Source organism: Homo sapiens, chromosome 2 (assembly GCF_000001405.40).
Source record: "Homo sapiens chromosome 2, GRCh38.p14 Primary Assembly".
In the NCBI taxonomy this organism is placed as follows: Eukaryota; Metazoa; Chordata; class Mammalia; order Primates; family Hominidae; genus Homo; species Homo sapiens.
In genome coordinates, this window is record NC_000002.12 from 85,710,697 (window position 1) to 85,725,771 (window position 15,075).

The following is a 15,075-nucleotide window of genomic DNA, read 5'->3' on the forward strand; positions in this document are numbered from 1 at the left end:
AGGGCTTGTGACAAGAGCAGAAGGAAGCCAGGCCCATTCCTGGTGGACTTGAAGGTGTTAGCTCTTTGTTCCCTGGAAGAGTGTGGCCACGGCATTAGGGAGGGCTTGCCACTGCTCTGTCCACACACAATTAGGGCTTAGGTGACTCAGAAGCGAACACACCATGTGTTAAAATAAGAGTTGGTGTTTCTGAGAAGGGAAGTCCAGGAGCTGACCAGGATGGGATTAGCTGTTGATAAGGGGCCCAGCATTGTTCTAGCTCTCCCCTGAGGCCCACACCACATCCTAGAAGAGAAGCCAGGTCCCTCGGCCCTACCAGGGCTGGGACAGTCGGGGCACAGCTGCAGGAGACGCCCTGGGAGGCTGTCTGGGCTGCGGCAGGAGGAGGCAGGGCAGGGCAGTGCAGTGGTTGGGAGGTGGCCACTCTGCCTCTGTTGAGTTTTCTGGCTTTGTCACTTGACGTTGATTCTCCCCCAGGGCCAGAGTGGGGTCAAGTGGGGACCATGGAGGAGGACATGAGATCCTAACAGGCGACCTCAAACTGCTGTACAAGCCCAGCAACCCTGACCGCTCCCCAACCCACAACCAGCAAAGGTCAAGGCCAGTGCCAAGGAGTGCGGGGAGGGCGGCGTGGGGGACTCTCCAGTTTAGACTCTTCAGTCTCGAAAAACAAAGGCTGACAGGAATGTGAGGAAACCACTGTTTACTCTGTTTTCAAGGGTGTTCCACTGAAGTGTGTCCCGAGATGTTTCCAGAAGGAGGATGACGGGGGTGGTGCTGAAGAGGCTCTGCCATGGGAACCGGAGCCGGAGATGCCGGCCAGAACTCTGGGTTCTCTGGAAGTGGTGGGAGGAAACCCGCAGGAGGGAAGAGGCCATCTCTCCTTTAACTCCTAGGGGAACAGACCGCAGGGGCTGAGGGTGCTAGCCCTTTCTGAAGCTGAGAGGGAGCCGGAAAGGAAGGGACTCAGGGGATCTCATGGGAGCCAGAAGGGCCCAGACTTAGGATCCGAAATTGTGCCTATGAGAGTGGTGAGCATTGGAGACTCTCCCAGGGGTTGGTTGGTGGCAGGCGACATGAATCTGTGAATGCTGGCTTAGCTTTAGAGGGACTGAGGGTGAGGATGTCACAGAGCCCAAGGGCAGGATTCAGAGCCCAGCCTCCAGGAGGACAAGAATGGGGACATTCCTTGGGGACAAAGTTGGGCTGTCAGTCACTGTCTCAGACCTTCTCTCCGGCCTGTCTGGTTGCCCGTCTCCGCTGTGCGCCTGCAGACCCTGCCTGATCATTGCTGCTCATGGTTTCAAAATGTGTTTCCTCAGATGGTGGCCCCAGGCCCTGAGCCTTGTGATCTTCTGGATATAGAGCTCATGCAGCCAGCTAACCAGAGACCCTGTGCCTCAGCCCCAGGCCCTGAGCCTTGTGATCTTCTGGATATAGAGCTCATGCAGCCAGCTAACCAGAGACCCTGTGCCTCAGCCCCAGGCCCTGAGCCTTGTGATCTTCTGGATATAGAGCTCATGCAGCCAGCTAACCAGAGACCCTGTGCCTCAGCCCCAGGCCCTGAGCCTTGTGATCTTCTGGATATAGAGCTCATGCAGCCAGCTAACCAGAGACCCTGTGTCTCAGCCCCAGATCCTAGAAAGAGAATGTGATTGTTCCAGACTGGCCGGGGATTCGCCCCCTAGTTTAGCGGGCTTGGCCGCGCGGTAGGCCCACAGGAACAACGCAGGGGCCCTCCACTTCCCCTCCAGCTGTGGGCAAGGGCAGTTCTTGCGTCCCAAAGAGGGAACCTAAAGAAAAAAGGGAAATATGGGAGGCAGGAGACTGGGTGGAACCAGAAGTGGAGGATGGGGCCACGGAGACCTCCTGAAGCTGGGCTCGCAGGGAGTTCAGGGGAGAGCCGGAAGGAGTGGGGTCGGATTAGGGACAACACAAGGACCCACACCCACGAGCTGTACAGTTCATTCCTAGATAACGACGACTGGTTTGGGCTTTTATAAACTAAAATTTCCCCTGAAGATAATCTATAACCCAACTGCCACTGATACAGTGAAAAAGTCTGGCTTCTCTAGGAAGCCATTTAGCTCAAGGTAACCTCAAGAAGAGAAACAGAGAGGTTTAGGAGTGACAAAGTTTTCATGGCCAAGATGGAAATGTCCTGCCTAGAAAGAGGCCATAAGGAAAAAGTCTAGAAGTGTATATGTGTGTGAACCTGGACCCCACCGCACCCCAGTGAAATCAGAATCTCGGGGGGGTGGGACTGGCCAGGTGATTCCCATATGCACCCAGGATTTCAAATCACTGGCCTAGGAACAGCTGACAGGTCATTCCCCTTTTCTCCATGACAGGAGCTCAGATGTTTGGAGATTGCCAATAGAAGTCAATGTGGCAGAGCTTGCTCTGTTTCCTGGGCCGTGGGCTCTGGGAACTGGCATCTCAGAGCCTCATGGCCCGAGAAGCTGTGTAGCTACCCCTGTTCCTATTGGTGAAGCCACCCAGCACCCTTAGTAGAGCAGCTCTGTCCTATCCCCACTGGGTGTTCAGGCAGTAAAGATGGGGGGTTGTGCTCAAAGAGCCACAACCATCCTGGTTTTCTGGAACTATCCCAGTTTCAGTACTGAATGTCCTGTGTCCCAGGAAACCCTACAGTCTGTGTAAACTGGGGCATTGGTCACACAGTGGCACTCAGCTGAGGGTCAGGAGAGCCCAGCTGACGTCTTTCAGCCCTGACACAGGCCCCACACCCACGTTCCACAGCGGCTCCTGGCCTGGGAGCTCCAAGCCTGGCATCATTCTCGGCGCTGGGCTCTCCCTTGTCCTGGAGAATGTTGACTTTTCTCACACCCACACATACACATGCACAAGCAAGAAGGAAAAAAAATGCAGGCATTGTTCAGACTTATAGCAGGTTATATTCTAGGAAAAGGTGGTGTAAGTCAAAAAGATAAAAATTGAATCCATTTTCCCACAGAAACAATACCTTGATGAGAAATCCTGAGCCAGGGAAAGAAGTCTATAAAAAGTTCTGTCCTGGTCACAAAAAATTTCCCTAAACCCCTCTAAATATCTCTGTTAGGTTAATACTAGGCAAAATGGTCTCCTAGAGAAATCAGCCCCCTAACATAATTAACTGTAAATTAAAACCTCTACCCTCTGCAGTGTGAGTGCTCTCAAATGCATATACCTCAAAGGAAAAGAGCAAATCAGTACTCAGCCATGGGCAGTGTTATTTTATTTGTTGAAACGATTCCACATGTGAAGGGCCACTCAAGCTAGAGTGGTGGTTCTCAACCTTGGCTGGGCCTTGGAGTCACGGGAGCTGTTGCACCTGCTGGTACTTGGTCCCGACCCTGGACAAGCTGATGAACTGCAGTGTGGCTTGGACACAGGGAGTTTTCGAAGCTCCACAAGTGATCCCAGTGTGCTGCCAGGGCAGGGCACCACTGGGACAGAGGAGGCTACAAGGCCTGGAAGAAGCACCTGGAGGAGCTGATGTGTGGTGGCTATACCTGGGGCTGAGAGCCAACGAGATCTGCTGGGAAGGTGGGGGCGTGGAGGAAAAGCTGCCTGAGCTCTGGGGTCCAGGCCTAGGGTCTTGAGTGCTGGAACATTGAGACACATGCTAACTGAAAATGAACCCTTAGCAGTCATCCAAGTCAATCCTGTCATTTTGCAGATGGGGAAATAGATCTAGAGAGGTGAAGGGATATGCCCAAGTCCCCCAGTGTTTAGAAGGAAAATTAAACATAGGTAGGCTGAGTGCGGTGGCTCACCCCTGTAAGCCTAGCACTTTGGGAGGCCGAGGCAGGCGGATCCCTTGAGCCCTGGAGTTCAAGACCAGCCTGGCCAACGTGGTGAAACCCTGTCTCTACAAAAAAAATACAAAAATTAGCTGGGCGTGGTGGCATGTGCCTGTAGTCCTAGCTACTCAAGAGGCTGAGGTGGGAGGATCACTTGAGCCGGGGAGGTCGAGACTGCAGTGAGCCATGATCACACCACTGCACCCCAGCCTGAGTGACAGAGTGAGACCCTGTCTCAAAAAACCAAAACCAAACCAAAACAAAACAAAACAAAACAAAACTAGGTATTTTGATTCCTTGTCCTGTATGGTAAGTCCTTACTTAACATTGTCAATAGGCTCCTGGAAACTGCAACTTCAAGTGAAATGGCATACAGTGGGTCCTCAAATAGTGTCATTTCATTCACTATCATTTTGTTATAACGTTAATAAGAAAAAAAATTCGTTTCACTATACGTTCTTTTGCTTCAAGTTGCAATTTCCAAGAACCTATGGACAGCGTTAAGTAAGAACTTCCTGTACTGTTCGCATTGTGGTGGTTTTAAACTATGCCCGAAAATTCTTTGATACTCCTCCCTTCAAAAGGTGAAGCTTAATTCCCCTCCCCTTGAGTTTGGTCTGGACTTAGTGACTCATTTCTTTTTAAATGTTTGATTGTTTATTTATTTATTTATTTTAGAGTCAGTGTCTTGGTCTGTCACCCGGGCTGGAGTGCAGTGGTGCAATCATAGCTCGCTGCAGCCTCGACCTCCTAGGTTTAAGTGATCCTCCTGCCTCAGCCTCCTGAGCAGCTGGGACTACAGGTATGCACCACGCTGTCTGGTTAATTTTAAAATTTTTTGTGGAGATGAAATCTTGCTATGCTGCCCAGGCTGGTCTTGAACTCCCGACCTCAAGCAATTCTCCTGCCTCGGCCTCCCAAGTTGCTTGGATTACAGGTGTGAGCCATTGTGTCTGGCCAGTGACTCACTTCTGAAGACAGAATACAGGGGAAGTGATGGTATGTGACTTCAGAGATCAGATCATAAATGGCATTGTAGCTTCTGCCTTGTTTTCTCTCTTGTGTCATTCACTCTGGGGAAAGTCAGCTGACACTCGTGAGGATGCTCAAGTGGCCTTGTGGAGAGGCCCACGTGGTGATGGGCTGAGGCCTCTCTCCAGCAGCCTCAAGTGGGCACCATCTTGGAAGCAGACCCTTTCAACCCAGGCAAGCCTTTGGAGGACTGTAGTCCTGGCTGACGTCTTGACTGCAATCTCATGGGAATCCCTGAGCCAGAACCATTCAACTAAGTCACTCTTAATTATAATTCTTGACCTGCAGAAACAGAGAAAAAAAATAAAAGTTTATTGTTTTAGGCAGCTAAGTTTTGGGGCAGTTTGTTACACAGCAATTGATAATGAATACACATACCACCCTAAAATATAATCTTTCAGAGTCAATGACATCCACAAACTCGAGTATAGTGGGAGAATATGAATGAAAAGAATAGAAGGTGTAGCAACATATTCCTTCTAAGGAAGAGTAAGGCTGGAGGGGTAGGAAAATTACTCTCCACTAATCCTTTCTGTTTATGGAGACTGGTGGGGAATGGAGAAAAGAAAGATGCAAGCTTCAAGGCGCCTGGCAGTTTTTCACTCCGCTGATGCTTACAGCCTAGAGTAGATGGCTTTTGTCTTAGCAGAGCTCAGGAAGCAGACCTGATACTGAGGAATGGTGGAGAAACAGGACTGAGCAACTTTTAAGAATCATGTGTCTAATGTGTAATAATATCATTTGTGTTGGTGTGTGACAAAACTCTCCTGGTAACTTCTAAGCCTCCTGTGAAGTCCACTGCACACACAGAGGCCTTGAGGAGCCCTAAAAAGGGGGTCAGGTTTCCAGCATGGGTCCATGCTGAACTGGGGGTGGGGATTGAGTAAGGAGAGGCCCATGTGAGGCTGGGGGCTGAGTGGAAGCTGGAGCTCAGAGCCAGAGAGAGCAGGGAGCTCCTTATGCAGCCGCATGGGTCAGGGGAGGTCAGGACACAGAAGCCATTCTGCATCTTGACAGCCTCAACCTGAATCCTGGGTGTGGGGGAAGAAGTGACAGGCATGGGAGTTCTTAGAAGTCGGCCATGCACCTGCATCTGATGAAGCGCCACGTCCGTTCTTACTAACCCCTGAGAACAATCACTTCTGCTTCCCTTCTGCCTTCCAAGTCCTGTGCAAGATCCTCTTGTTGGCAAACTCTAACCTGGGAGCATGAGGAAGAGGACTGCGGGGAACGGTTTCCAGCCCTACGTAGACATGGTGGTGGTGACGTGTTGACACATGGGGGCTCCGCTTCGGACTTCGCAATGAATAAGGCCAGGGAACTGCAGCTGATGGCTGGGTCATCCGAGAGACCTTCAATCTTTACTTTCTATAATGACAGAGCAAACCATTCTATTTGCTATTTACTTTCCTGATGGTATCTTCAAGAAACTTCTGGAAATAGGTCTTTGTGTCAACCAGAAACTGCTGGTCAGAGGATAAGTTCTGGAGTTTTCTTGTAGAGCATGGAGACTGCAGTTAATAATAACATATCATATACTTGAAGATTGCTGAGAGTAGATTCTAAACATTATTATTTATTTATTTTCTTAGTTTTTTCGCCCCACTTCAATAAGCTAGTCGAAGACAGTAGATTTTAAATGTTCTCACCACAAAAAATGGTTAAGTATGTGGGATGATAAATATGTTTGATTTACTCATTCCACAGTGTGTACGTATATCAAAGTATCATGTTGTAAACTATAAATAAATATCATTTCTTATTTGTCAATTAAAAGTGTAACACACACATATGCATGCACACTATATATAAATACATCTTTTAAAACTGCTGGTCAGGAATCAGACGGCCTCCACGGGTGGTGTCACAGGGCTGCCCCCCGCAGCCTCCCTCATGGTTCTGAGCCCTCCTCAGTCACTCTTTTGTTTAATGCTTTAATCCCTGCTTTAAGTAGGAAGCTTCCCTTCAGCTCATGGGAGGCCCTTATCTTACCGGTGGTCAAATAGATATGGGAAACATTGCCTGCTCTGTTTTTGGTGATTGGCGGTGCACGTGAGTATATTAAAGACTCTAAAAACGCATTTTTCAGAGCATGTCTATGACAGCTTGCAGTGTTGGATGTGAATGGCTTCTTCAATGCCAATGTGCAATTAAACGGGAGGAACAGAGATGCTGTCTTGGGAAGTACAGACACAGGGAGAAAAGAGTCATGAGGCTGGCTAGTGACGAAGACAACTCAAGAAGACTTTGTGTACACTTGCCACGTTACGTCACGCAAGATAGGAGTTGTCAATAATTTCCAAATTAATATATTGCACAAAAGGCCTGGGAGTTATTGTTGCTGTCGACAGCACAGTGTTGGTGAGTGCCCCTCCCTAGCATGTAAGATAACATCTGTCTCGGCCTCTGTAATTAAGAACAGATGCGAATCCATTTCAACCTTTCCATGCTCTAGGAGGAAAGGGCTGCCATGCAAATGAGTCAAGCAGGCAAGTGTGCACTACAAATCTTTTCACTTCGGAAGGGCAAATATTGATTTCAAACTTCCTAGAAGTACCTGTTTGAAGCCCTGTCAGTAGCCCAACAGATTCAGAAAAGATATCCTTCCCCGCTTTAGACACCCGACCACCACTTGCCAGAGAACAGTCATAGATGTTCAAATTCCCCATCACGACCATGTGAAGGGGCCACTAGAGCTTGCAGTGCACTTGCGACACCTATGGGCATGGAATCTCCATATTTTCAAGACATACCACGGGTGGTTCATGTTCTGAGGGTTGTCTGATGGAGGACATTCTATCAGCTTTTACTTGGATCTATTGAATGTCCTTTGACGACAAACACTATTCTCCAAAAAATTTCCACTTTTTATTCTCTCTTAATTCCTTTCTCTCCTCTGTCTGCTGTCATCTGATTGATAAAAATCCTACTAGCTGCCTGCCCTGTCCTGTCCTATTCATAGGGACAGCCACCTACCTCTGTGGGCTTCTCTTCTCCCTCTCCCAGCTGCCTGTCCTGTCCTGGTCCCTTTTTTTTTTTTTTTTTTGAGACAGTGTCTCACTCTGTTGCCCAGGCTGGAGTGCAGTGGCGTGGTCTTGGCTCACTGCAAGCTCCTCCTCCCGGGTTCACGCCATTCTCCTGCCTCAGCCTCCCACGTAGCTGGGACTACAGGCGCCCGCCATCACACCTGGCTAATTTTTTTGTATTTTTAGCAGAGACAGGGTTTCACCGTGTTAGCCAGGATGGTCTCCATCTCCTGACCTCGTGATCTGCCCGCCTAGGCCTCCCAAAGTGCTGGGATTACAGGCGTGAGCCACCTTGCCTGGCCTGTCCTGGTCCCTTGAGGTGGCTTTCCTCCCTGAATCTGCTCCTGTACAGTCCTTATGGTCCCCTGATTTGCATCTTTGCTCCTTCCTCCCCAGGCTGTGGGAACCTCCAAGAGAAGGGAGACGGAGAGCCCTGCTCAGAACAAGTGGCCTATGAAGCTGTGGCTGGGTCCCCAGGGTCCTCGGCCTTCCTTGTTCATGGAGGGGGTGTCCTGTGGGTGTGGGGACAGTGGGCTCAGGTGGTCGGGCCAGCAGTGAGGTCTGGCGAGTGAGCTGGTCAAGCAGGCAGAGTAACCAGAGGTGAAGATGAACGCCATGGATTTGGGCACGCAAGAGCTGGCTCCTGGGAAAATCAGCTAGGGCTGGCAGCTTAAGACAGAAAGGTTCTCCTAAGTCCAGGGAAGGGGGTCAAAGTCCACAAAGCAAGGACCTTGCCCTCACCCTCCCAGTAAGTGACACATAGATTAGGTCAGATACTTGAGCGGGGCTGTGAGACTTAGGCACATCCCACGTGTGGCAGATACTGATGGGGTGAGACGCTGAACCTGGAATGGAGCTCTAAATTTGAATTCCAGTTCAGCAGTAAACTCACCACATGACCTTGGAAGAGACCGTGCACCTCCCTGAGCCACAGAGCCCTTTACTGCAAGCTGAGGATAACACCCGTCCTCTGCACCCCAGAAGTGTGTTGGGAGGAGAAAAGGTTAGAAGCCTGGGGGTTCCTTGTAAGCAGTGATGAATGGAGGGGTCTGTGAAGGGTGGCTGAAAATCAGGGTGCTCCAGGCCAGGGGCAGGGATCCTGGCAGTGGAGTGGGAGAGAGATTCAAGAACAGAGTCTCTCCAGGTTTTGCCATCTGTAGAGGTCAGAAGCACCCTGCCTTGACCTTGGGCTATTTCTAGAGAGCTGGCCAGGCATCTCTCATGATGGCAGCAGCTGGCTGCCTCTCCTCTGGTGCTGGCTGCCTGCTCCTTGGCTCTGGCTGGACCTGCTCCAGGTTGAGGTCTCACCAGTTGAGCTGTCAGAGCCAAGGTAGGACAGAACCCAGGCTGAGCCCTCTGGAGAACCCGCAGTATCTCAGAGGCACTTTAGCTTCTGAAGCGAGGAGAAAGCCTTGCAAGTTTAGTCCACGGTAGCCTGGAAGAAGCCGTCTCACTGGGGAGTTGGAGTTGGTCAATATTTCCTACCCCCATCACCACCACAACTTTACAATTGCTTCAGGCATTAATTACCCTTTGCAACAGCCTTCTCATCAAGTCACTTCTCCATTCAACAAATTCTTAGTAAGGGCCGATGTGGCCCCCATAGAGCTTACAACTGAGTGCATCGACAAGAAAATAAACATGAAAAAAATATAATTCTGACTTGTGGTAAGAGCTCATAAGGAAGTGAACTGGGTGCAGTGTAGTTGGGTGGTAAGGGAAGGGGCTCTCTGGAGAAATACCACTGAAGCTGAGGCTCGAAGGATGAGAAGGGGCCAGCTAAGTGAATAGTGGGGGGATAGGAAGGTGTTCCAGGCAGAGGGAACAACACATGCAAAAGCTTAATGGCAGGAGAGGGCTCAGGGCCTTAGAGATATAAAGGAGGTGAGGGGGACTAGACTGTAATGAGTGAGGAAGACAGAGTGGGAGACCAGTCAGAGAGACAGGCAGGGGCTAGATTGGGCAGGGCCTTTTAGGCCAGGGGAAGGAGCTGGGATTGTCTTCCAAGTACAATGGGAAATGCTAAAGGGTTTTAAGGAGAGAGTGATGGCATCTAATTTGCACCGTGAAAGGTTACTTTGCTCTGTGGAGAGACAGAAGAATAGAAGTAGGAAGACTCTGAAGTAGTTTGGGTGACTTAGACTATGATAATGTAGCAGACAGGATAAGCTAGGTTGTGCTGCAGTAACAGACAGCCCCCATTTCAATGGCTTAACATAACAAAGATTTATTTCTCTGTCATGCATCAGCAGAAGGGCTCTGTTGATCTTACTCACTCAGGAATCCAGGTATGGGTCTCATCTGGACATGATGTCCATAATCCCCATGAAAGGAGACAGGAAGTATATTGGTTCTTTAAATTACCACCAGAAGTGACAGATATCTCTTCACATGTCATTGGCCAAACAGGTCACAGAGGCAAGCCTAACTTCATATCAAGTGGGAGAGTGCCATCATGCCACAAACCCAGAAAAACTGTGTCACACTAATGACCACCACAGACCAGGAGAGTGAAGACAGAGAGAAGCAAATGAATCCAAGGTACATTTTGGAAGCGTCAGCTGAACAATTACAAGGGTCATATATTTAGACAGGAGAACTTTATTTCTCCTAAAGAATTGTAGCTTGCAGGGTACCCATTCTGACAAGCTGGGAAGTGTAGCCTTGGGTCAGAAGCTGAGAACAGGCACTTTGAGGCTGGGAAGACTAAGACAGGGATTTATACTGAATGGGATGGCCAAATATAAGCATATTATGTGCAACTGAGGATCATGCCTCTCTGCGGGTCCCATGTTAAAAAAATGGTAGCATTAGCATGATCCAAGGGTAGAGGTTTTGGTTCTCTGGTGTCAAAAGGTAAAGCAGAGGACATGAAAACCCTCACTGTGCATCCTTACAGGTTGGTTTCAACCTGGCTGGTTGAATTCAAGGGCACAGCAAGTCTTTTGAAAGGCTGGTCACTGTTTAGCCCTTAGGGAAGAAAGCCTTGTGGTGGTTAGTGAAGAAGGGCGGATAAGGAAGCCTGTCTCACCTCTGGTTGCATCGTGGCTGGGAATTCAGTTTCCAAGGTTTCTCTGAGGTCCTTTAGACCGAGAAGGGATCTATTCACTTAGTTGGGGCTGGATTTCATTTTTATTTCTCAGAAGTAAAAGTGACAGGCCTTCCTGATGAGTTGTATGTAGAGCAGGGGGAGGAGATAGGAGAGTCTGATGATTCCCAGGTTCCTCAGGGCCTGGTGCTTGGTGGTCCCATTTGCTAGAGCAGGGGCTGGAACGAAAGGCATGGAGCTGGACATGCGCCAGTGTGGAAACTGGATTATGTAAATCTGGAGTTTGGGAAAGGGGGTTCGGGCTGGAGGTACAAATTTGGGTGTCATCAAATATAGATAGTGATGAGTGCTTCAGGAATGGATGGCTCTTGGGCCTTAGAATTCAGACTGAAACTTACACCACTGGCTTCCCTGGTTGTCCATCCTTTGAACTCGGACTGAATTACACCACTGACTTTTCTGGTTCTCCAGCTTATGGACAGCAGATGGTGGGACTCTTTGGCCTCCATAATCACATGAGCCTCTTCCTATAATAAATTTCCTTACATATATGTAATATATGTGTGTGTCCTGTTGATTCTGTTTCTCTGGAGAACCCTGACTAATAATACACTATTTCCTCCCAAAACTTTTTTTTTTTTAATACCAGTTTGCATTTCCACCAACAATATTTAAGAGTCCTCTTTTCCCATCCTTCACTAATACTGAAAAATCTTTCCGGCTGGGCGTGGCTCATGCCTATAATCTCAGCACTGTGGGAGGCCGAGGCAAGTGGATCACATGAGGCCAGGCATTTGAGACCAGCCTGGCCAACATGGCGAAACCCCTCCTCTACTAAAAATACAAGAATTAATGTGGCATGGTGGCGCACACCTGTAATCCCAGCTTCTTGGGAGGCTGAGGCAGGAGAATCACTTGAACCCGGAAGGTGGAGGTTGCAGTGAGCCGAGATCATGCTGCTGCACCCCAGCCTTGGTGGCAGAGCAAGACTCTGTCTCAAAAAAAAAAAAAAAAGAAAAAAGAAAAATATTTCTGAATCCTTGTGGCTGTTGCTCTAAAGTTCAGCACAGTGGAAGCGCAGAGACTCGGAAGCAGGCTGACTTTGGCTGCAATCCTGGCTTCTGCTTGTTTCTAGTTTTGGGCCTTCTAGTGGGCAACTTACGTAACCTCTGTGAGCCTTGTTTTTCATAGCTGCAGAGTGGGATTAATGATTGTATTAATTAAAATCCTTTCAGTGGCAATTACCAGAACGACCACTGGCTAGCTTACTGGGCCTTTATTAGAAGGGCCTGGGGGTGCCTCATGGCTTCTGAGGCAGGGCAGGGCCACCTAACTTCAGCAGGGCCCGAAAGGCCAGATCCAGGCGGTCAGCAGCAGATTCAAGGACTTCCCCTGTAGAGCTGGGCTGCTCAAATTCTGTGGTTGGAGGACCAACTCTTTAAAAACTTCAAATGTTATATTCCAGTGCTTTTGGAGATGCCATAAAATTCAATGACTGGAAAAATGAAATTAAAAAACATGCACAAAACAAACCCCATTTTAAATTATTGGGTCTAACAGACATAAAGTTACTTTGTCAAATTGCTATAAGAGTTTCTAAAAGCTTACTCAATTTCTGTGCTTACCTGGTTGAAGACTGATGACAAACACTTCAGCATCTTCCCTAGCCTGAGATGACACTTGGGGCAGCACTGTTCACCCTAGAGCATTGCTAAAAGCAAGCTCACTTCCAAGTCTTTGCTCTCAGGTCAATATTCCACATTCTTGGAGGGAGAATCTGATTGCCACTGACTGTGTCAGATCTCAGAGGAGACAGAGCCATAGAGTATGTGCATCGCTTTGGGAAGACATTTTCATCTGTGGCCAGCCAAACCTGTTGAACACCCCATGTAATTTCCCACATTGTGACTATTGCCTTCTTTGTGTAGAATCTAGAAATCTACGTTTCCCAGTTTCTCTGGCTACTCACAGCATTTAGGTTTATGTTCATTCATGCTTGAGATTTTGACTCAAGAGTGGGTATGAAGCAGAGATGGGGCTTGGGGTGGTGATTTTGCTAACATGGGGAAGCCAGCGTAACTGAGATTTTGGGGTGCCAGCAAGACCAGCTCCATATCAGGCCAATTCAGTGGGGTCATAGGAGGCTCCTGGAAGCCCACCTAAAGCCTATTTCTCCAGCTGTCTAATGATTTTTGAGCTTTCTTTCTTTGCTTTTACGAGACAGGGTCTCGCTCTGTTGCCCAGGCTGGAGTGCAGTGGTGTGATCATAGTTCACTGCAGCCTCAAACTCCTGGGCTCAAGCAATCCTCCCACCTCCCTCCTGAGTAACTGAGACTACAGGTGTGCACAACCACACCTGGCTACTTTAAAGTGGAGATGGGGGTCTCACTATGTTGCCCAGGCTGGTCTCCAACTCTTGGCCTCAAGTGATCTTCTTGCCTCAGCCTCCTGGTTTCCTGACCTTTCTAATAATTTTAACTATATCCCTTTCTCTTTTGGATTCTGTTGTCTTCAGCCATGAACCTTGACCCATACAGGCCCATCCCCTTGCTGCTCAGTGCTCTCAATGACATTTCACAATGATGTGTCTTGCTGTAGGGATTCCATCCATTTTTCTGGGCACATGCAGGCTCTTTCAATCTGGAAATGTACATCTTTCAGTTCTGAGTAATTTTCTTAGATTTTTTTTTATTAGTTCCTTCCTTTTTCTTTTTCTGATCTCTTTGAAATCACTCTTCAGAAAGAGCAATTTGGATGTTGGACTTCCTATTTTGGTTTCTCTGATTTTCCATCATTTTTTCTTTTTGTTATACACTTTCAGGGAAATTTCCTCAATTTTATCTTCCACACTTCCTGTCGAGTTTTTCATTGCTGCTGTCATTTTTTTCCCCCACTGTTAAAAGCTTTAAGACATTCTCTCAGTGAGCCTTTAAAAACAGTATCTTGCTCCTATTTGGTGGAGACAGTAGCTTTTCTCCTGTCTCTGAAGATAGTAAATAAATATTATCAACATTAGTAACTGTCCTCTCGTCTCTCTCGTACACATTGTCTGTTCCTGGGTGTTTCTCATTCTGTTGGTTGGTGTCTCTGGCCCTGATGAGAGAGGTATTCCACTGGTGCTAGGTAGCTCTCGGCCATCTGCTTGCAATTAGAGTGAAGATCAGCCTCTGAGCCTGAGGAGGGGGCTTGTTAGCTTCAAGTCCAAGGCAGGGCAATGCTGGGCCACTGGGCCACTTACTGCAGGAAAGCCAGATGTCAAGGGCTTTAGAGCTTTCCTCTTGGGCTTCTCAGGGGTATAAGCCGGATGCTTTGGGTTAAGCTACACTTAGGTTTGTCCAAGCACACTTTCCAGTATGCTGGGCTTCCCCAGAGCTTCCTCATCTCCTGCCTGGAGGCAAGGACCCAGCTGCTGTTGCCCTGGGTGGCTCAGCATGCAGCAGGCAGCAAAACTCCTTGTTTCTCTTCTGCAGCTCACACCCTCGCCTGTGCCAGCTGACCTCCAGCCGCGGAGACCCTCAATTTCCCCCTTTCCAGAGAAGACAGGTTGGGTCTCAGCTGGGTGGGGAGGACAGCTCCCTGGTGTTGCAGAGGAAGGGAGAGCATCTGGGGTGCTGGTGGCCTCCCACACAGCTTTCCCCTCACCCTCCTCCATTCAGGCCCCCTTTGCCTTGACCTTAGAAGTTCCAGGGGCTGCCAGTTCCTGAGCCCCTGAGGATTCTGCAGTGCAGATCTGTATTCTTCTCAGCTTTCCCCACCTCAGCATCAGCTCTTCCTGGGTTCTGTTAAACTAGTCCCCATGCATTCATCTGCTTTCAGCTTCCAAAGTTTGGTTGCAATGCCCTCTCTTATGTTTTCCCCATCCTTTTGGTTTATATATGCATTTTCTCAATCTCTTTACTATAATGCTGGTGGGGTTTCAGGAGGGAGAAAAGTTGAATGTGTGGGCTCAACCTGACATCTTGACCTGGAAACTCCCAATCAGCTTTTTAGTATCATCCCCTTAAATAGAAGATAACAGCCAAAGGTCAGTGAATGATTGAGGAAAGCCTGTATGTGAATATCAAGAGAAAAAGCCAAGCCAAACAAAAGCAGAACAAGCTCCAGGGAAAGGAAAACAAGGAAGGGAACTAGAGGAACACTTCAAAAATGTATGGTAGCAACAACT

The 15,075-nt window shown here is 48.6% G+C and overlaps 1 long non-coding RNA gene across 1 annotated transcript, besides 2 other annotated features; it reads left to right on the forward strand.

The window, feature by feature from the left end:
- Positions 1-501: an enhancer, noted in NCBI's record as "H3K4me1 hESC enhancer chr2:85937820-85938320 (GRCh37/hg19 assembly coordinates)". NCBI's record gives its function as "activates a minimal SCP1, AML or CMV promoter by ChIP-STARR-seq in primed H9 embryonic stem cells {active_cell/tissue: H9 hESC(primed)}" and the evidence as "EXISTENCE:reporter gene assay evidence [ECO:0000049][PMID:30033119]".
- Positions 502-1,002: an enhancer, noted in NCBI's record as "H3K4me1 hESC enhancer chr2:85938321-85938821 (GRCh37/hg19 assembly coordinates)". NCBI's record gives its function as "activates a minimal SCP1, AML or CMV promoter by ChIP-STARR-seq in primed H9 embryonic stem cells {active_cell/tissue: H9 hESC(primed)}" and the evidence as "EXISTENCE:reporter gene assay evidence [ECO:0000049][PMID:30033119]".
- Positions 4,565-6,611, forward strand: LOC124907851 (uncharacterized). Its single transcript, XR_007087118.1, has 2 exons — positions 4,565-4,605; positions 6,001-6,611. It is a non-coding gene; the product is annotated as an uncharacterized LOC124907851 (long non-coding RNA).
- The last annotated feature ends 8,464 nt before the right edge of the window (positions 6,612-15,075 follow it).